The sequence below is a fragment of the Homo sapiens genome, chromosome 16 (assembly GCF_000001405.40).
Source record: "Homo sapiens chromosome 16, GRCh38.p14 Primary Assembly".
Lineage (NCBI taxonomy): Eukaryota > Metazoa > Chordata > Mammalia > Primates > Hominidae > Homo > Homo sapiens.
Genome location: NC_000016.10, coordinates 12,151,361 through 12,172,444, shown reverse-complemented (window position 1 = coordinate 12,172,444; position 21,084 = coordinate 12,151,361). Strand labels below are relative to the sequence as shown.

The 21,084-nt window shown below is 49.3% G+C and overlaps 1 protein-coding gene across 21 annotated transcripts in view, besides 1 other annotated feature; it reads right to left on the bottom strand.

Annotated features, from left to right (window-relative positions):
• SNX29 (sorting nexin 29) overlaps positions 1 to 21,084 on the bottom strand; it is a 597,554-nt gene that overhangs the window by 401,843 nt on the left and 174,627 nt on the right. The window lies entirely within an intron of this gene.
• Positions 8,707 to 9,207: an enhancer, noted in NCBI's record as "H3K4me1 hESC enhancer chr16:12257095-12257595 (GRCh37/hg19 assembly coordinates)". NCBI's record gives its function as "activates a minimal SCP1, AML or CMV promoter by ChIP-STARR-seq in primed H9 embryonic stem cells {active_cell/tissue: H9 hESC(primed)}" and the evidence as "EXISTENCE:reporter gene assay evidence [ECO:0000049][PMID:30033119]".

The following is a 21,084-nucleotide window of genomic DNA, read 5'->3' as shown; positions in this document are numbered from 1 at the left end:
TTCCTCCATCCAGCATCCTCTTCTCTTCCTGGCCCTGGGGGACTCAGAGATATTGGAGGTACCACCCAGCAGAAGAGTAAAATGACAGATCTCAGCCCTGCACTGACACCTTGCCACCCTCTGGCCTGTCTCCACCTTTTCCCTCCAGCCTCGCCCCTTTCCTCCTCCCTTCTTTTTCTTCCCATCTTGAATTCCCAAGAAGAGTTTGCCATCTTCCTTTTCAGAAACATACGTGGCCTACTTCTCAGCTGACAAGCAAAGCCACAATGAGAGCCACCAGGTACCGATTTGCATTTCATTCTTAGGCAACACTTCATGTTGTTAAGTCTATAAAAACACTGCTAAAACAGAGAGTAACACTTCCAGAATAAAGACTCAAAGCTTTTGGTGTAATTTAGAAAAATAAGTGGTAACGTAGAACACCACCACTAATAAGCAGCAGCGGGGATGTCTGCTGGCAATCTCAGAATTCTCACCGCATCCTCGTCAATGTCCTGTGAGGCTTGGGATTCACTGGACACTGGGGCCCAGAGAGGTCAGGGAATTGCCTGACAGTGCACAGCCAGAAAGCAGCAGAACTGATGATCAAAACTAGGTCTTCTACCAAATCTAACAATTGGGCCATACCACCACACCACAAGACATTAGAGGCTGAGTACATATAACAATCATTAGTGAAACAGGAACGCAAGCAAATACTGTACAATGCCCAAGCTAAGGCCTCCCTATCCTTTCGGTCAGGAGAAATCCATCTACTCTTCAGTTCCCTGTCCTGAAATCTGGGCTGCCTGTGGCTCTTGGCACTTGCCAAGGTTCCCCAGGGAGGGCAACGCTACCCCAGAAGAGGGCTAAGCCCTGAACCAGCCTCTCCACTGTAAAGGCAGAAACCCACCCACGGCCTGTGGAACACAGCTACAGCCAGAGCTGGGTGCTCAGCAGACCTCCTGCCCTCCCTAGAGCCCTCCCTCTGAAGCACAGGCTCAAAACGTGAGAATCTTCTGCTGAAAAAGCCCATGCTCTGGTATGACTTCAAAACCACACATTTGCTGCTATCTGACTCAGGATGATCCAAAAGATGGGACTAACTGTGCGTGTTTTCTCCCTCCCTCCCTTCAAAAAAAAAAAGTAAGCCTTTTCAGAAAGGTTTAGGGATGCAACGGCAGACCCCAGACCTGGGTTCCATTTGGCGCTCTTAGTCATCACGTGAAGATAGTGTGGGCAGCTTTCTAAAACCTCCAATTAGCAGCAGGAATAATACAGGTCAGTAGGAACCTCTCAGCTCTCAAAGAGCCCGTGTCAACCAGGCAGGAGGGTGAGGCTGTCCCACAGGGTCCATGAGGAGCTAGAGAAGGAATTATAGACCGCAAACAAGCACCGGGCCTAGTGAAAGGTCCCTCCAAGCTCTCCTCCAAGCTGCTATGTGATCTAAGATATGTAAAATCACGCTGCGCCCCTAACACCCTAAACACGCTGGCCGGGATTTTTCTCCTGGGCTCCAGGTCGTCAGTAAATCCTACGGCTCTCTCTCCAGCCATCAGGGCCTCCGGGATGTCTCGGAGGCCCTGTAAACAGCACGCGCGCGCGCACAGACACTCCTCATACACTCACACTCTCATACTCCTTAGTCACACACCCCATACACACACACGTGCTCTCACTCTCACACACACACTCACACTCCTCTCACACACACACACTCACTCACTCACACAGCCTCCTCTCCCACAGAACCCCTTCTCTGGGACCGTGTCTACCACCCACTCAGCCACTTAAACCAGAATCCTGGCTGTCGCCCTCCACAGCTCCCTCTGTAACCAATCCGTGAGAAGTCCCAGAAGCCTCCGTCCCATGTCAGAGCATTCTTCTCCACCCCCACAGCCCCACGAACAGCCCATCTACCCTCCTCCTTCTGCCTGAGCTTTTCCTCTCTGTTCTGATACACGCATACCAGCAGGCAGGCACACCCATCCACACGCCTCCCCCACTGATGACCTCAGGGCTAAGTGGTCTCCCCCACGTAACAGAGGAGACCCAGAGCTGGCTTTGCTCCATGGGTCTGGATCCAGTGCTCTCAACTGCCACAAACGCTACACGGCCTCCCCAGTCGCCAGCTCACATACACACGTTCACTGAGATTCACTAAGGAACCCGCTCCCTGTCACCCACACACCATCACATGCGCTGCCACTCTCACACCATGTGTTCTCCATGGCTCCTCCGCCACAGGATCTGCCCCCACCATCTAGAGCCAGGCTTCTCAACTGGGGCAATTTCAACCCCAGGGGACACTGGGCAACATCTGGAGACTTCTTTAGTTCTCATAACGGGGAAGGGAGGAGCACTCCTGGCATCTAGAAGTCAGAGGTGCACAGGACAGCCCCCACTACAAAGGATTATCCAGCCCAAGTGTCGGCACGGAGAGCAAGAAACCCGATCTAGAACTTGAGCTTCTTATCCACCTTCTTTACCATTTCCTGCAGCACCAATATTTAATAAATGAATGTGGCCAGGTACGGTGGCTCACCCCTGTAATCCCAGCACTTTGGGAGGCCGAGGCAGGATAATCACTTGAACCCAGGAGGCGGCTGTTGAACCCTGGATGGTCCCCAGGCTGGAGTGCAGTGGCATGATCTCAGCTCACTGCAACCTCCGCCTCTGGGGTTCAAGTGATTCTCCTGCCTCAGCCTCCCAAAGTAGCTGGCATTACAGGCACACACAACCATTCCCGGCTAATTTTTTGTATTTTTAGTACAGATAGCATTTCACCATGTTGGCCAGGCTGGTCTCGAACTACTGACCTCAGGTGATCCACCCATCTTGGCCTCCCAGAGTGCTGGGATTACAGGCGTGAGCCACAACGCCTGGCCATGAATGCATTTTAAATGTCTGCCATCCCCTCCTGTTCACACAGTACGTCCATGTTGCCTTGCCCGAAGACAAAGCCACTTCACCAAGGCAGTAGGCGGCAAAGGACCATCCCCAGCCCAGGCCCTCCAGCCAAGTCCGTGCCCACTGACAAGACCCACATGGCCTCCTGGGGTCATTTCTGAAAAGGAAGCCCGTGATCAGCTCCCACCCACGAGAGCTACATTTTGGCTTGTTTCAGTGTCACAGCCTCACGGGGCCATGAACAAACCAGGCGGCGTCACTTGCGCTTTGAGCCTACAGGGCACCCTCCCTAGAACTGGGGCTCCCGGACAGCCTCCCTGAAGCTTTGTCAGGCTTCTCCTTCTTAAAAGAACAGCTGTGAGATACAATTCACATACCAAACAATTCACCCAGTTCAAGCATACGATTCAGTGGTTTTCAGCATATTCACAGAGCTGTGCAGCTATCCCGACAATGTTATCGTAGAACACTGCATCACCTGCACAAGAAACCTCACACCCCTCAGCAGTGAGGCCAAGTCTTGAGATCACCTCCAAAGCCATCCTTCAGCTGTGACGGAAAACCCTTTCTGGTAAAAGCTCTCCCCAGCACGTGCAGGTCAGAAGGGGACCACCACCCTCCTCACCCCACAACCCAGGTGCCAAGGTTCTGCCCTCTCTCCGGATGATCTGGGGCAAGAAGAAACCGGCATGCAAAGAACTCACTCCCTCACATCACTCTTCTAAGAGCTTTTCTCCTGAAGGAGCTCTCTAGAGGGCAAATCTACCAGAATGCGTTGATAGAAATTTATGTAACGATCTAATAATAACTCAATACGTTATTGTTAAGAAGATTCTAGCAGCAAAGGTGAACCAGAAATGTGGCTGAAGCGCCTCTGTGTGATGAGAGATGAAGCAAAGGGAAAAACCAGGAATGTACAGTAGGCTGGCTCCAGAAACCACGCCAATGCCCCTGTGCTACGGCCAAGGCACATTCCAAGGTCACGAGGGCACCCGTCAGCCTGTTCAGTTATGGGAAGATGCTAGCTGGGGCGAGGTATGTAACGAGGTGGGGACCTAGGAGCAGAGGAACCTAGAATAGGAGCAACAACATGGGGCTTAGATTCAAACAAAGTTGGTTCGATTCTCTGAGCAACCATTCAGCTTGCCATGTGACCCGTGACAAGGGTTCCTTAAGCTTCCAGTTTCCTCACATGCAAAGGGGAATCACGCTTTCCTCTAGGTCATGGTTGCTCACTTCTGGGCTTTTGCACATCCTTTCCTTCCCCCAAAGGCTCCTCCCTCCACCCTCATCTGCTCAAATGTCACTTCCACCAGCGAAACTGCCTGGATCCCCGCCCTCCAGCATAGACATGCAAGCACTCGCTGCCTGTGTTTGCTGCTTTCTTGACAGCCTACACTTTTCCTTCAGAGCAATTCTCTCTTTGTACTAAAGTGAGTATATCATTACTGTCTGCCTCCTCACCAGAATACGCCACTTCATGACTGTCTCCCAGTGCCTGGGACACTGTGGAAACCTGGTGATTTTGTCTTTCCTTGAGAGCCAGCGCAGCGTGCTGGCTGAGAGCTTGGGTTCCAGAACAGGGTGCCAGGTGAGCTCTTTTGGTAAAGGGTCAGGCCTGTGAGCCACGCAGTCTCCTTTGTAACTACTCACCTCTGCTGCTGCCACATGCAAGCTGCCAAGGACCATTCCTAAACAAATGGGTTACAATAACACCTTATTCACGAAATAAACGGTGGCCCTGCAGGTGACAGTTTGCCAACCCCTGATGTAGAATCACACTGAAACTGGATCCTGGCTCATTCACTCCCCGGCTTGTTACCTTCAACAAGTGATGACTTCTTTGTGCCTTGGTCCCACATCTCTAAGAGGGCAGTGGTACTTCTACCTACCTCATTGGGAGGATTAAAAGAATGTCTGAAACACACTAAACACTCAATAAATGTGAGCTGCAGTCATCATAATCATCATTACTTAATGGTGGCGATAATGGAATCAATGATTGCACCTCCCAACCCTGGGCAATTAATGGTGGCTACTATGATGATGATCATATTGATGATGGTGGTGGTGGTGGGTGGAGAAGTCAACCCTGACAAAAAGAAGGGCAACCAGGTGAGCTCAGGGAAGGAACAAGAAATATCAAGAGCTCTACCTGGACCCACAGAGGCTCTGTGACATCTGACACCTGGACAGTCTGGAGGGCCAGACAGGTGGCCCCCACAGCCACCTCTCTGCAACCTCATCTGCATCGGCGGCAGAGCTCAGACAAGGACCATCAGGTGACTCCAGCTCTGGGCCAGACAACCAGCTGGTGCAGTCATAGGCCACTGGAACCAGACTTCTCATGAGGGAAACAAAGAAAAAACAGTTTCCAAATGGGAAGAACGACCTCACCAGCTATGAGATGGCCAGGAAGGCAATATACTCGGTTCAGCCAGCAAAGCCAAGACTTCATCATAGCATGCCCCACAAAGTCAAAATTCCTTTGGAAGCAAAAAAGACATGCATTGAGCAAATGGGCCATGTGGAAGACTGTAACAGAAAGTCCCCAGTTTACCACCTTCCTTAACCACTGGCTGATCCACGTAAGGAGAGCTCCATGCAGCAACCCAAAGCAAAGACGGAGCATTTTCTTCTTCCTAGTAGGGCTTGAGTTTTGCTTTGCAAAATAAGCATATAAATAGTCCAAACAAACCAACAGTTATTAAATTCACAATATTAAGTTGGACACGAGATCTGCTGGAAGCACTGAATGAAAGTGGATCATGACTTCCTGGTTTTCAACAGCCACACACACCCAACTCTGATGCCTGAAGCTGCTGGTGGCAATCATCAAACAAATAAATACGGGGCCTCTAAAGGAGGGTGGGTACACGGGATCTTTGGGTTTTCCAGGAGCTGTGTCTACATAACAATTCATATCCTTCTTGGTCCAGCCACCTGAGAAGTAGGTGGGGAAAGGCTCTGGTAAGGAAATGGCCCAATACCATAATCAGCTCCAAGTGAACTGAGCGCCACGCTCCCCTGCACACTACAAGACTCGGCTGCCTATGCCCCCCGCCTTCCTGCTCGCCAGCTCCTCCAAGTGGAGAGCCCTTCCTTCACCATGTTAACCTGGCTAGCCCTCCAGTTTCAAGGCTCAGCCTTGCCTGACCACAGCCCATGGATAGATTTCTTCCTCTGTGCTCCCAAACCACCCTCTGTTTAATTTGCTTCCAGCGCTCACTGCTCTGAATGCCCATCATGGCCCCCTCATTTGTCTCTCCCATTTGCCTGGCTGCTCTTCCACAAGAGCCCTACCCACTTATCTCTGTATCCCAAGTATTTTGCTCAGTGCCTGACACACAGGAGATGCTCAATAAATGTTTGTTTCATCAATGAATTAATGTATCCACTTTGGCAAACCACCAAATCACATTTTTAACCAAGACTGCTGCTACTATTATTACGATAACGGCAATGACTACTACTGTTAATACTACTACCATGAATAGATGACATGGATTAAATGCTTCCATGCATTAAACACCAGGATAAGGACTTCAAACAACTCTCGACAACCCCCTAAGGTAGCCCCATTAGACAGGGTCAAACACGGCCTAGAGAGGTGAGGTGGTAGATCCAAGGTCACATGGCTAGTGTGCAGCAGAGCTGGCTGACTCTCATCAGTCAGAAGGGAATCAAAGTCTGGCCGGGTGTGGTGGCTCACGCCAGTAATCCCAACACTTTGGGAGGCCGAGGCAGGTGGATCAGTTGAGGCCAGGAGTTCGAGACCAACCTGGACAACATGGCAAAACACCGTCTCCACTGAACACACAAAAATTTGCCAGGCATGGTGGCGGCGTGCGCCTGTAATCCCAGCTACTCGGGAGGCTGAGGCAGAAGAACTGCTTGAACCTGGGAGGCAGAGGTTGCAGTGGGCCAAGATTGCAACACTGCACTCCAGTCTGGGTGACAGAGCAAGACTCTGTCTCAAAATATAAAATAAAAATAAGTAAAGTTTATATTTAATATTTGAATGGTAAAAAACAAACCTGTAAAAGGAGGCTTACAAAAAATGTTTAGCTGATACAGACTCAAACTAAAGGATTGACTATTTTGCCTACATGTATCATTTTTCATCTTTTCTTAGGCATAAGTGACTTGACCTGAGACAAAAATTGACAAGCAGGTTATCTTTTTATGCCACTAAATTGCTGAACAACTTCACAAGCTGTATATGCACCACATAATAACTAGAAAGCACACTGCAAAAGGGAGCAAGATGTTTGCAGAATGCATGTCACTCAAGCTCCTCTCTTCTTCAGGACAATTACGCAGGAAACACATGAGCAACAGAGATTCCAAAGCAAAAACACAGGCCTACTCGATTTATACTCACTTCCATGTGAAACCATGTATTTCCCACTTAATAAGATGCCAGTATGTCTCCAAAAGTTCTGCTAAGTGGTCCTTATCCTGTTCCTCAAAAGGCCGAACACGACAAACTCTTGATTCACTCACATGATGGCAAATGCAAATTCAAGAACAGCCACAGGAGAAGTGAGTCAAAAAGGCATGAATAAGGCCGGGTGCGGTGGCTCACACCTGTAACCCCAGCACTTTGGGAGATCAAGGTGGGCAGATCACCTGAGGTCAGGAGTTCAAGACCAGCCTGACAAACATGGTAAAACCCTGTCTCTACTAAAAATACAAAAATTAGCTGGGCATGGTGGTGGGCACCTGTAATCCCAGCTACTCAGGAGGCTGAGGCAGGAGAGCTGCTTGAACCCGGGAGGCGGATGTTGCAGTGAGCTAAGATCATACCACCGCACTCCAGCCTGGACAACAAGAGCCAAAAAACTTCATCTCAAAAAAAAAAAAAAAAAAAAAGGCATGAATAAACACACTTATATGAATTCTGCTGCCCAAAGTAAGAAAATCCCATGATTAAATCCAAGCCAAATGCTCAGGCTGCCCATACAGCTTCCAAATGCTGTATGGCCCCTTTCAAAGTGAGAAGTTTCAAGAAATATTATCAACCAAAAAAGTACATACTTGTAAACAGTACTCAATCTTCTCAAGGTTGTAATGCTAGGCCAGGGGCAAAAATGTAGCAGTTGAACTTCTCAAAATCACGAACCTACAGGATCAAGGATTCCCAAGTACATCTTATAAATCCTTATTACAGTCATTCACTATCGCACGGGTTTTCTTAAACCAGCATAACTAGTACTCTATTAACCAGAAATCTTGGTCAACTGGAAATTCTGTTTTCCAAACTCCACTCAAATGCCTTATTTCGTACCTCATTGCCCTCTCACATTCTGCTCTGCGCCCCTCTTGACATTTCTTCCATACCCCACACTCATCCCTACCCCAGGGCCTTTGCATATGCCCTTCCCTGTCTTCCCCCAGACACTGGGAGAGCTGGTTCCTCCTCATCCTTCCAGTCTTGGCTCCTTTGTGCCCCTACACACACACCGCACCTCCAAAATGCTTTCCCCAACTAAGAAAGCAAACCCTCCCAACCAAAAGATATTCCCACTCCATAGGTCCTTTGCAGATTCACATCATCATCTTGTACTGTCTTCTTGAGAGCTGTACTACCTGTGACCTCATTTTTCAATTACTTGTTAACATCTCAGTTCTCCCCACCCCACTCCTGTAGAATGTCCAAATCTGGACACACCCTCTCCTCACCTACACCTGCTCATCCTCTGCACCACGGAACAGTACCACCATCGAGCAAGCCAGAAACAGAGCCTGCATCAGCTTATGGTCCGTTCTCTCCAACAGAGACCGCAGGATGTGCCGAGGCAGGGAACAGTCCTCAGCCCTGGCTGAACAAAAGGTTCGGTTTAACAAATACAAATCCTCCCAAGACCCCACCCTAGACCAAGACCCATGTGGGGCAAGAAGCTTCTATAGAGGGAAGCTTCTACAGGAGATTTCTAGTCTCCTGTTGCCACCAGCCCCTCCATGACTCTCCACACTGCTCTCAATGGAAACGCCTCTCTAACCATGTGAATTCATCGGTGCTGCATCCTCAGTGCTGCTCCATCGCCTAGAGGATAATGACCCACCACCAGGCATGGTGTGCAGGCCTCTGGTCTGGCCTCTGTCCACTTGAGCTCCTCTCCAGTCACCCTCAACACCCTGGGTAGCAGAGTCTAGTCCGTCAAACACACCAGGCCCTCTCAAGCTTCTCGTAAAGCCCTCCTCCCTGCTACCCCACCTCACCCACCTGCCAAACCCCTAATCAGCCTTCCAGACGCAGCTCCAGTGTTCCCTCCTCAGGGAGGCCAGTCCCGCCTTTCTCAGCAGGGTGACCCAATTCACCCTGGGGGCTCCGCAAAGGACATTCCTATCTACCATCAGAAGCAACAACTGGCCAGACGCAGTGGCTCACGCCTGTAATCCCAGGACTTTGGGAGGCCAAGGTGGGCGTATCACCTGAGGTCAGGAGTTCGAGACCAGCCTGGCCAACATGGTGAAACCCCATCTCTACTAAAAATACAAAAATTAGCTGGGCATGGTGGTACATGCCTGTAGCCCCAGCTACTTGGGAGGCTGAGGTGAGAGAATCACTTAAACCCTGGAGGCGGAGGTTGCAGTGAGCCAAGAGCGTACCACTGCACTCTAGCTTTGGCAACAGAGTGAGACTGTCTCAAAAAAAAAAGAAAAACAAAGCAACAACTATGTTGTGTGATAAACACGTGCTTGCCGGCCCTCCAGGGTGTTGCCGCTGCCCAGCACCATGACCTGCATGGAACAGGCATTCCTGGGTCTGCATTCAGGGAACAGTTACTACGCACCTCCTACGAGCCAGGCCCCGTTCAAAGCACTGGACCCAAAGTGAACAGGACACACAAGACCCCACTGCCTTCAGGCTAGCTCAAGGTCATCAACTATGGCCCACAGGACAAATCCAGCCTGTTGTGTATTTTTTGTGGCTTCTTAAATAGCTTTATTGAATAGAATGTGCCTACCACACATTTCTGCTCTGTTTCTGTGAATGAAGTTTTAGTGGAACACAGGCATGTCCACTCATTTATGTAATGTCTCTGGCAGCTTTCTTGCTACAACAGCAGACTTCAGTAGTTGTGACAGAGACCATATGGCCTGCAAAGCCAAAAATATTTACCCTCTGCCCCTCAACAGAATATATTTGCCAACTCCTCATCTACTTAGGAGGGTGTGGATGCCCTGGACAAGCCCAGTCAGCCAACCAAGTATTGATCATTTCAGAGGGTCAAAGTGATATAAAGAAAATGACGCATGGTACTAGGATGGACGATGAGAGGGTAAACAGACGAGGCCCCTCGGAGGCGCTGACATGTGTGCTGAGGCTGGACACCCTCAGAAGGAGCCGACCGTGCTGAGATCTGAGGGAAGAGTGTTCAAGAAGGGAGCCATCACGTGCAAAGCCATCCAGTTGGAACAAGCCTGGTGTTTCAGTCAAAGCCCGGCAGGAAGTAAGTACATGGCACCATCAAAGGGGTTGATGGTGAGGTTTAATAGACCATTTACAGAGGAGCAAGGTGAAAAGAAACCAACAGGGGTGGTGAGGGATTCGGGGGCCGACAATTGTGGAAAGACTGTATTAGTCCATTTTGCATTGCTCATCAGGAATACCTGAGGCTGGGTAATTTATATGGAAGGGAGGTCTATTTGGTTCACAGTTCTGCAGACTGTGTAAGAAACGCGGTCCAGCACCTGCTTCTAGTGAAGCCTCAGAAAGCTTTCAGTCATGGCAGAAGGCATAGGGAACTGGCGTGCCACAGGCAAGAGAAGAAGGGCGGGCAGGGAGGGTGGAAGTGCCAGGCTCTTTTTAAGTAACCAGTTCTGGCATTAACTAATAGAGCAAGAACTCACTCATGACCAAGGGGGAGTGTGCTAAGCCATTCATGAGGGACCCACCTGTCCCCGTGACCCAATACTTCCCATCAGACACCACCTCTGACATTAGGAATCACATTTTAACGTAAGATTTGGAGGGAACAAACATCCAAACCGTATCAGATGCCCACCCTACGCTCCTTCAGGCCTGAAGGGTAAGGTAGACAGTGGCTACTGGAGCCCAGCATCAATTGGGCAGTGATGCCATGCCACTTAAAGAAGCTGCAGCCTCCAGCAGAGAGGAAGACGAGAGAGTAACTGCCCCAGCCTCAAGTCATTCCTGGCAGAGCTTCCCAGTGACCACATGGGCCAAAGCCAACCATAAGTCAGAGGTCGGGGAACCTCGTGATGGAGTCCACCAAGCTGCGCCTCGGGGCAAAGAAGAGAGTGGAAAGGGAAAAGGCTGGAAAGAAAATCCGAGGGGAAAACGCAGCCCATCTGGTATTCCCTGTCTATCCAAAGGTCAGAAAGGTGGTCAACATGGCTTCAAGGGCCATGAATTGAGATAGTATTATCAACCGCAGAACGTGACGAGGTATCAGACACTGGAAATCATTGCGGGACTGATAGAGGGAGGTGAAAATGAAAGATGAAATCATCACTGTATCTCTGTCAAAAATGTACTCGGGTGTGGGTTTTGATCAGCTGTAGCATGTCAGCAATCCTGAGAAAAATCAGGAAAGCAAGAAGAGGATGATTTGCATATCTCGAAATCACACATACAGTCGCTACTCCCGGCACAAGGCCAGAAGTGAAAGCAGTCAAGATCTCAATATTTCAGACCCAAAAGAGAAAGCTCCCACAGTCCAGACATTGATGCTATAATGCCATCAAGAAATGGGGGACAGCACTAACACTTCTGCCATGAAGTTACGTTTTTAAGTGCTCAGTAGTAGCTGTTATTAACACTTGATTTTATTTTGTACAAAATCTCCTTACTTTTTTCTAATCTTCCTTAAGATATAATTCACCCTTTTAAAGTGCATGTCCAGTGGTTTTTAGCATATTTGCAAGACTGTACAACAACAACAACAATTCTATGAAGAGATCATTTTCATCACCCCAAAAAGAAAACCTATATCCATTAGCAGTCACTCCCAACCACCCACACCCCAACCACGGCCCCTGACAACCACTAATCTCGTTTCTGTCTCTAGAAATTTGCTTATCCTAGATGTTTCACAGGAATGGAATGATATAATAACACCAAGTTATTTTTAAATCATTAGCACAAGACTATTTTTCTGGCTGTGACCTTCTAAAGTTGGTGGGCTAATTGGCAGAGCACATAAGCCTCTCTGCTATGTAACCAAGGGGATAGACTCAGAGGGCTGAAAGATCCTGAATCTAAACTAAAATGAAGATTCCTCATGTTAAAAACCTAACATCTACTCCTACCATGCCCCCTGACGCCCCTCAGCAACATGAATACAGTCAGAAAGTGGAGTGGAGGCAGTTCGTGGGGTCCAGCAGACCCAGCAATGGGGCAAACAGTGGGCATCCAGACCACCACCCAGGCCTCACCAGCATCATTTCCACACCTGGCAACATCAGAGTCACGGTGCTATTCCCTGCTGTGGCAAATCTCATCATTCCCACTTGGCCCTAGAACCATTTGTTAGAGACATCTGACTAGCCTGCGCTTTTGGAAAGGGACTTACTTAGAGTTCCCAGAGACAAGAGAGGTGAAGAATAGATTTTCAGTAAAGAAAATTGGTGCCTATGACTGGAAGTGGCTGCCTAGATGCACTGGATTCTAAGATTCTAGGGCTACAAAGAGTGCAGTGATTGATTAGTAATGTCTGCAAAAGCACGGGATAAGGGAGTAGCAGCAAAGGACCTTGTACTTCCTGTCCCTCTCTTAAGTGTTCACCAAGGCCACTGAGCCCACTACCCATGAGGTATGAGTTCTCCCAGTCCTACTGGGGATTTCCTTTCCTTTTTATATTTTTATTTCTAAATGTACTTATTTTTAATAGAGACAGGGTCTCCTTATGTTGCCCAGGCTGGTCTCAAACTTCTGGGCTCAAGTGATTCTCCTGCTTCGGCTCCCCAAAGTGTTAGGATTACAGGTGTGAGCTACCGTGCCCAGCCCCAGTGGGGATTTCTATTCTCCTACTTGTGAAATACACAGCCATGTCTCTATGCAGATGTGGTCCATGGAACCTACAGTCTCATAAAATCCTTTGGTGAAACTTCAGCAAAAGCTTTAGGGAGAAACGCCTGGTCCAAGATATCCGAAGTTGAAGCCTAGAAACAGAACAGCGAGAGTTCTCAAAATCATCTTGCATCTACTCAATACTGGGATTGCTAGTTACTGGGAATTAGTTCTTGAGAAGCAGCCCAACATACAGTGTGCTGAGCCATCGTCTCTGAAAGAATGGAAGGGTGAGGAATGAAGCCAACTCCCTACAATGCTCCACAGGCTATCCCTGGAACTAGGGATTAGGCAGAGAGATCAACTTGGCTGGGTATCGTCATACATCTGCAGGGGTGCCAGCCTTGCTGGGAGCCAAAGAAACCCTTTGTTAGACGGGTGTCCTCAGTAGAGGGCACATGGAACCTTCATTCCAGCTAATTGCTAAGATAATGCAGTTATGCACAAGATGTGCTTTCTACCCAAGCCTACACCATATTAATTCCAGAAGGGCTCATCTAAAACTAACAGGCAGGTGTGTTACAAATCTCATTCTCCGCCCATTCTCCATGATTGGAGAAATGATTCCACGCCACAGGCAAAGATCCTCGTTCTGAGTTGAGATCAAGTCAACAATTTACTGGGCACTAACTAGAGAAAGTGGGACAGAAGTCAATACTTAAACAGACAAGCACTGAGCTAAGGGTTCCCCCATTTCACTCAATCCCCATATCCGCATTTCACAAATAAGGAAACAGGCTCAAAGTTGCCTGAGGTCACACGGCAGGAAATGAGGGAGCAGGGTTCCACTCGGGCTACCCCGAGTCTCCGGTGCACGTTGCATGTTCTTTTCATCATGCCACGCTGTCCTTTTGGCCCACAGCCTGGGTGAGGCATCATATCAATGTTCAAGAAAAGAACTAATGTGAGCTTGGCCTGTGAGGCACTTATGAATCATTAGGCAAATGGACCACAAAATATGTGAGAATGCTCAAGCAGGACTACTGGGTGCCCACATCTGTGACAATTAAAACCGGCTGGGTGCACTGGCTCACGCCTGTTATCCCAGCACTTTGGGAGGCCGAGGTGGGTGGATCACTTGAGGTCAGGAGTTCGAGACCAGCCTGGCCAACATGGTGAACCCTCATCTCTACTAAAAATACAAAAATTAGCCGGGTGTGGTGGCGCACGTCTGTAATCCCAGCTACTCGGCAGGCTGAGGCAGGAGAATTACTTGAACCCTGGAGGCGGAGATTGCAGTAAGCCGAGATTGCGCCACTGCACTCCAGCCTGGGTGCCAGAGCGAGACCCTCTCTCAAAAAATAAAAATAAAAAAATTAAAAAAATTAAAAGTGCTCTACCTGGGAGGTAGAGGCTGCAGTGAGCCATGATGGCGCCACTGCAATCAAGCCTGGGCAACAGAGTGAGAACTGTCTCTAAAAAAAAAAAAGCAGCAGCAACGCTTTAACTCATGCACGGTCAGCTGGAGTTGGTCACTGTACCTAGCACCTGAGAACTTATACCAGATGCTGTGATGTAATGTGAATTATAATACAAGTCTGGGATGCTGGGAAAACACAAAGGATGAAGCACTGGAGGGAATCACGGCGCCTTCACAGAGGTGGTGACACTGCAGCTGGCTCCTGATGCATGAACAGAAGCCAGCCCTCGGGCAGACGGAGACAAGCACATGCAAAGGCCCAGAGGCACAAAGGGCTTTCAGAGAATGGCCCTGCACACTGTCTCCACTTCATAGTGTAGGGAATAGGGCACCACTCAAGCCCTCCCAGCAAGGAATTTGGGGTCAGGGACAGGAATTCAGTTCCTGGATTCTTCACTTACGAGCTCACATGAACTTGACCAAGATAGGAAACCTCCAGTCTCTGCTTTTTCATCTGAAAAATGCAGAAAATCAAGCCTGCTTCATAACCACGTTTCAAAGGCTCCAATCGTGTCAATGTAAAGGCATAAGACCCTTTACATGGTGCTACACAGTGGCCTGAGGTAAAAGGATAATACTGCAGAGCACTCTGGGAGAGCAGGACACCCAGGAAACGGCTGCTGTGAAACCTCCCGCCCTGGGCAATAAGAGAAGTTCCTTTAGGAGACATCATGACCCCACGTCCCCTGCCCTCGGCTCACCTCTCGCCCTCATGCTGTGGAGGGCCAGTGTGTGCACATCGCCTACTCACTCCCACCTCCATAACCATGAGGTCTGCCCTGTGCTGCCCTCAGGACCTTCTCCAGAGCCAGAGAAGGGGACCAGCCCTGCTGGATAGTGTGGAAGCAGGGTGGAGACAGCCAGCACCTTGAGGGGACAACCATCAGCCTATGGGGGGTGGATGTTGGTGGATGAATGCCCCATCCTTCCGAGGCGACTGCGAGGCATGTTCTCCACACTCCTCGGGGGACTCTCCGGCTGCCCACCTGCAGCCATCTCAAGAAATCCCCTTTCCTGACTGCCGTTCCTTCCCTTCTCACCCTCCGGCTCCCTCACTGTAGCTTCCTAGGATCAGCTCCCAGAGAAGCACCTAAATCCAAGCCCCTGACACAGGCTCTGCTCCCAGGAGAAACACGACTAAAACAGGGGCCTCCCTGCCCAGCCACCCGGCAGGCCCACCCCACAGAAGTGAAAATGCCCCCTGGTCCTTGGTCATGCATCTACACACACCCGAGCTCCAGGGGAGGGGGGCACGAGGAAACTCAGTGCCCAGAGGGACCATGCCCTGGGCTCCTGCACTCCCATTCTCCTGACGTTGGATAAACAGACAGCCCTGAGAATCAATTCATTCATTTGGCCAAGTCGGCTGGACAGCCATTTGCTAAGGACCTAGAGAGGCCTGCCTTGCAGATGAGGCCATAGAGGTAGAGAAACAAAACACGGCTCTCAGCACTTACAAAATCAGTTTTGAAGACAAACAGGGAAACCTTCCTGCACACCAGAGCCCCAGCGAGCTCCTGCCCCATATCCACCTTCATTGGGCTTCATGGTGCTCTCTGGGGGCAGGAAGAGGCAAGGAGGGAAACCCAGGCAACCTGCGCCCCTTCCTAAGACTCCAAGAGGGCTGGGCCAACAAGGCTCACGCCTGTAATCCCAGTACTTTGGGAGGCTGAGGTGGGCGGATCACCTGAGGTCAGGATGAGACCATCCTGGCCAACATGGCAAAACACCATCTCTACCAAACATACAAAAATTCACCGGGTGTGGTGGTGGGTGCCTGTAGTCCCAGCTACTCAGGAGACTGAGGCAGGAGAATCGCTTGAATCTGGGAGGCAGAGGTTGCAGTGAGCCAAGATCGCGCCTCTGCACTCCAGCCTGGGCGACAGAGCAAGACTCCATCTCAAAAATAAAATAAAATAGATTAGAAAGAGACAAGGGAGTTAACCAAGAAGCTCTCTGGGGGAAGAGGGTCTTGGTAGAGAGAAACGTTAGAGCCAAGGCTTCAAGGAGATGTGGGGGGGTGTGCGCCACGCACGTTAAGGAACAGCAAAGAGACCAATATGCCCAGAGCAGATGAACACGAGGAGGAGTCGGAGGAGCAGAGAGAGATGATGGGAGCACTGCATCATGTCAAGTCCTTTTATACCACTCACCAGCTTTGGCTTTACTTCGAAGGAAGTGGGGAGCCACTGCAGGATCTTGAGCAGAGGAGTGATCTCATGAGGATGGGCCCAGCCATCTCTAGCATGGGACCCTTCCTTGCAGCAGTGTCACTGGAACAAGACAGGCCCTGGGACTCACGATCACTTAGTGAACCCATGGTGGTTGTAGACTCTCCAGGAGGATGAACTGCAGAAGGTTCTGGGCCCTCCCTGCTCTCACACTCCCAGCTGCATCTACCCCTTTCATTTTCCATCTCGGCATGCCACCACCCTCTACTCAAACGCATCTCCAACTCCACAGTCTGCCCTCAAGAGGCAGCTAGCATAGAAAAGCGGCCTCTCATTTGGTCCCCAGTTATAGTTGGCTCAGTGTGTCTGTGGCTTTTCTAATGAAAACATCATTGCCCTGAGAAAACGGCCTGTAACTGAGGCAATGGAAAGAGTCCAGGGTCCTTTAACCAAGCCAAATCCCCTCCTCCACTTGTTAATGACCATGTCCCTGGCTCACCTCATCCCCGTGCTCTCAAGAAGAGAAACATTCTGTGGCTCTTCACGTGAGCTGCTCCTCCCAGTGGCTTGCTAAATTGCGCCTGTTCTTCTGAATCCACCGACTTAACACAGGATTTTTCTATCAGCTTAATACATAGAATATACCTGAGCACACTCAGCTGCATAATTACATTGTTACAAACCTTCTAACCAAATACATTTCCTCCTGGGATGGAGTTTTCTCTCCTGGTCTGCAGAGTAGCAACAAGAGCCAGAGTCCCCTGGGCGCGGAAGGGGTGGTGGGGCAACCAACGGGGGCAGGACAAGCAAGAAGTCCAGAACAAGGCATCCAGCAGAGGCAGCCACTGGCAGAAGGGCAAGGGGGGTGGGAGGCAGAATGAGAAGCCAAGCCTTGTTCCCGTGACATTCTTCATGCCTAAATGCTTGCTACTGTGGTCTCAATGTTTGTGTCCTCTCCCCACTGCCAAATTCATATGCTGAAATGCTAACCTCCAAGATGATGATATTAGGAGGTGCGGCATTTTAAAGAGCCTATGGTTATGAGGGTGGAGCCCTTTATGAATGGGATTCGTGCCTTTGTAAGAGAGGCCCCAGAGAGCAGCCTCACCTCTTCCACCATGTAAGGACACAGGGAGAAGGTGCCATCTATGAACCAGCAAACAGGCCCTCCCCAGATACCACATCTGCTGGCACCTTGATCTTGGACTTCCAGCCTCCACAACCATGAGAGATCTATTTGTTGTTTATAAGCCACCCAGTTTCTGGTACTTTTTGTTTTGTTATAGTAGCCCGGATGGACTAAGGCACCTGCCGGTCACCTGCTGTGGGTGAAAGACAGAGTTCAGGCCTGAGGATGAAGAGTTGGAGACGGGGGAAATGCCAGAACACCCTTTCTCATGGGATTCTGAGTCTAATAGGGGCGACAGACCCTAATCAGACACACACGTATGTAATTAGGAACCACAGCCAGTGCTGTGACAGGTAGAAAAGCCTGCCAGAATCTCCAAAAAAAACAGCCTGCTTCCACCTCAGGGGTGTCAGAGGGGAGAGGGAAGCCAGCTCCCACTGTGGGGGGTCTCAGAACGGGGGACAGCCTGCCCTAGAAAAGCCCTCAAGCCTGGAGGAGCAGTTTTCACCTCTAAAAATAGGTAAATGTGTTTTTTCTCCTTCTGTGGGCAATTACAGAAAGCCTGCTACCAAATTCTTCCCAAAATGCACTTCATTCCAGGGTTTTAGAATTCCCTTAAGGAAGAAAGGGAAAAAAGAGGTGGGGTCGGTGGGGAGGGAGAAGGAAAGAGAAGGAAGGTAGGGAGAGAGGGAAAACCCAAACTTCTAATTATTTGTATGTCAAACTCCATAAAAATAAAAGAGGACTTTACATCTAATTGTTCTTAATGCTTTAATAGAACATTCCCCAATAAAATACCTCCCAGCAGTTTAACTTTCAAAGCGGGAGGACACCGTCTCCATAATTCAAACTTGAAGAAGGTAGAAGAACAGAACTGGAACACATCAGACAAACTGCCTTCTGTTTTTCTTCAATTTAAAGCTCAACAATTTGTCTTCCTGTCACACCGGCTTGCTACATAAAACTTTCTGGAAAAAGCTGCATTCAAAAAGCTCACCATAAAGATTAGGAGGAGTGGCTGTGCACAGTGGTTCACTCCCATAATCCCAGCACTTTGGGAGGCTGAGATGGATGGATCACTTCAGGCCATGAGTTCGAGACCAGCCTGAGCAACATCCTGAAACCCCATCTCTACTAAAAAAAAAAAAAAAAATTAGCCAGGTGTGGTGGTGCACGCCTGTAATCCCAGCTACTTGGGAGGCTGAGGCAGGAGAATGTCTTGAACCCAGGAGGCAGAGGCTGCAGTGAGGTGAGGTCATGCCACTGCACTCCAGCCTGGGCAACAGAGCCAGAGGTTTGGTTTTTTGTTTTTTGTTTTTTGTTTTTTTTTTTGAGACAAAGATTCAGAGGGAGCGTGAGAGAAAGAAAAAACATGGGGGGATCTCCCCAGGGGCCTCCAGACTGTACACAAGACCGGCCAAGAGATCCAGAGTGGGTACCAACATGGAAGGCTCTGAATTAGACGATATTTTGGAAGATGTCATGACCCTCTGTACAGCTAAAAATAAAGGATGTGCCATTCATTCATTCAGAGACAGGGTCTTGCTCTGTTGCCCAGGCTGGAGTGCAGTGGCACAATCACAGCTCACTGCAACCTCGAACTCCTGGGCTCAAGCGATCTTCCTGCCTTGGCCTCCCAAAGCAATGGGATTATAGGCATGAGCCACAGTGCCCAGCTCTTTTTAAACAATTATTATCCTTGACTAAAAACAGCCAAGGCTGGGGCACAAAAGAAAGCTATAGTAATAGACACGACTACAGAGACACTCTGACAATCACCAAGTATAAAAACCACCCTAATGACCATGATGGATGGATGGCAGGGGACGTTCTAGCAGAGTCTGCATTCAAATTCCAGCCCTGCCACTGTGTGCGGGGTCCTGAGCAAGCTTCTTAGCCTGTCACCCTCTTGTGAACTGAGAACACAAAAGGACCTTGCTCACTGGCAACCACGACGATTAACTTAGCTGACCTATGTGAGACAGAACCATTACTGGTGTTCAGAAAACACCCGGAAAATGTAAAAAATAATAGAGCTATTATGTTTTGTCAATAATGAATTAGTGGCATCTGTTCCAGGGACCTGTGGTGTATGTACTGCGTTCATCTCTCAGCCTGACTGGTCAGCAAAGTTGCTACTAGTACAGGTCAGTCTTTTTCTGCAGGAAAATGGAAAGAGCCTCAGAAACACCGTGTCTCTCACTGGTTTGAAGATGGTGGTTTGCCCCATTTGATGGGTGAATCTGGGGTTCAGAGAAGGAAAGCAACGCGTTCCAGGTTACAGAGCTAAGATAGGGCAGGGTTTCCAAAGACCCCAATGCAAAGCCCAGGGCAGTTTCCATGAAGCCACACTGTCTCCTGCTCCCCACATGCCCATCTGAGGCCAAACCTTGAAATGACCATCTGCAGGTGTCCCATCTTCCCAATCTGTAAACCAGTTACCTGGTCTGGATGTGGGAGGTAATAATTCCAACATGTGCTTGGTACCACCTCTTAACAGAAAAGTATCACAGAAACCAAAGATTCTACGATGTGAATCTTTTCATGTGTATTATTGCATGCATTTTTTTTTTAAGATAGGGTCTTGCTTTGCTGCCCAGGCTGGAGTGCAACGGCACAGTCTCAGCTTACTGCAACCTTCACCTCGCGGGCCCAAGCAATCTTCCCACCTCAGCCTCCAAAGTAGCCGTGACTACAGGCGCATACCACCACACCTAGCTAATTTCTTTATATTTTTTGTAGAGATGCGGTTTCACCACATTGCCCAGGCTGGTCTCAAACTCCTGAGCTCAAGCAATCTGCCTGCCTCGGCCTCAGGATCACCTGAGGTCAGGAGTTTCAGACTAGTCTGGCCAACAGGCAAAACTTCATCTCTACTAAAAATACAAAAATTGGCCAGGCATGGTGATGTGCACCTGTAATCCCAGCTACACAGGAGGCTGAGGCAGGAGAATCACTTGAACCCGGGAGGCAGAGGTTGCAGTGAGACGAGATCGTGCCACTGCACTCCAGCCTGGGTGTCAGAGTGAGGCTCTGTCTCAAAAAACAAAACAAACAAACAAACAAAAAAACACAAATAAATGTAGAAGAGTAGGTTGTGTGAGAAAATGTAAAACCATAATGAGGAGGGGAAATGACTGAGGTGGAGGACCACCCTCTCTTCAGAGGAATTGAAAAGAAACCGTCCTGCAAAGATCTGAAGATCTGTGGGGTACGAGTCCCGGGCAGAACAAACAGTGAAGATGCTTAACAGGAAGCAGGCAGGCCCCGGTCAGATCACGCAGAACATGCAGGCCAGGGAAAGAAGGGTGGATATTCTTTTTTTTCTGAGTACAGTGGAGTGTTGTACACATAAGAATGGCATGAGCTGACTTAACACTTTGAAAAGTAAAATCAGAACCCACTCAAACAAAGCCACTGTAAACGACCATCA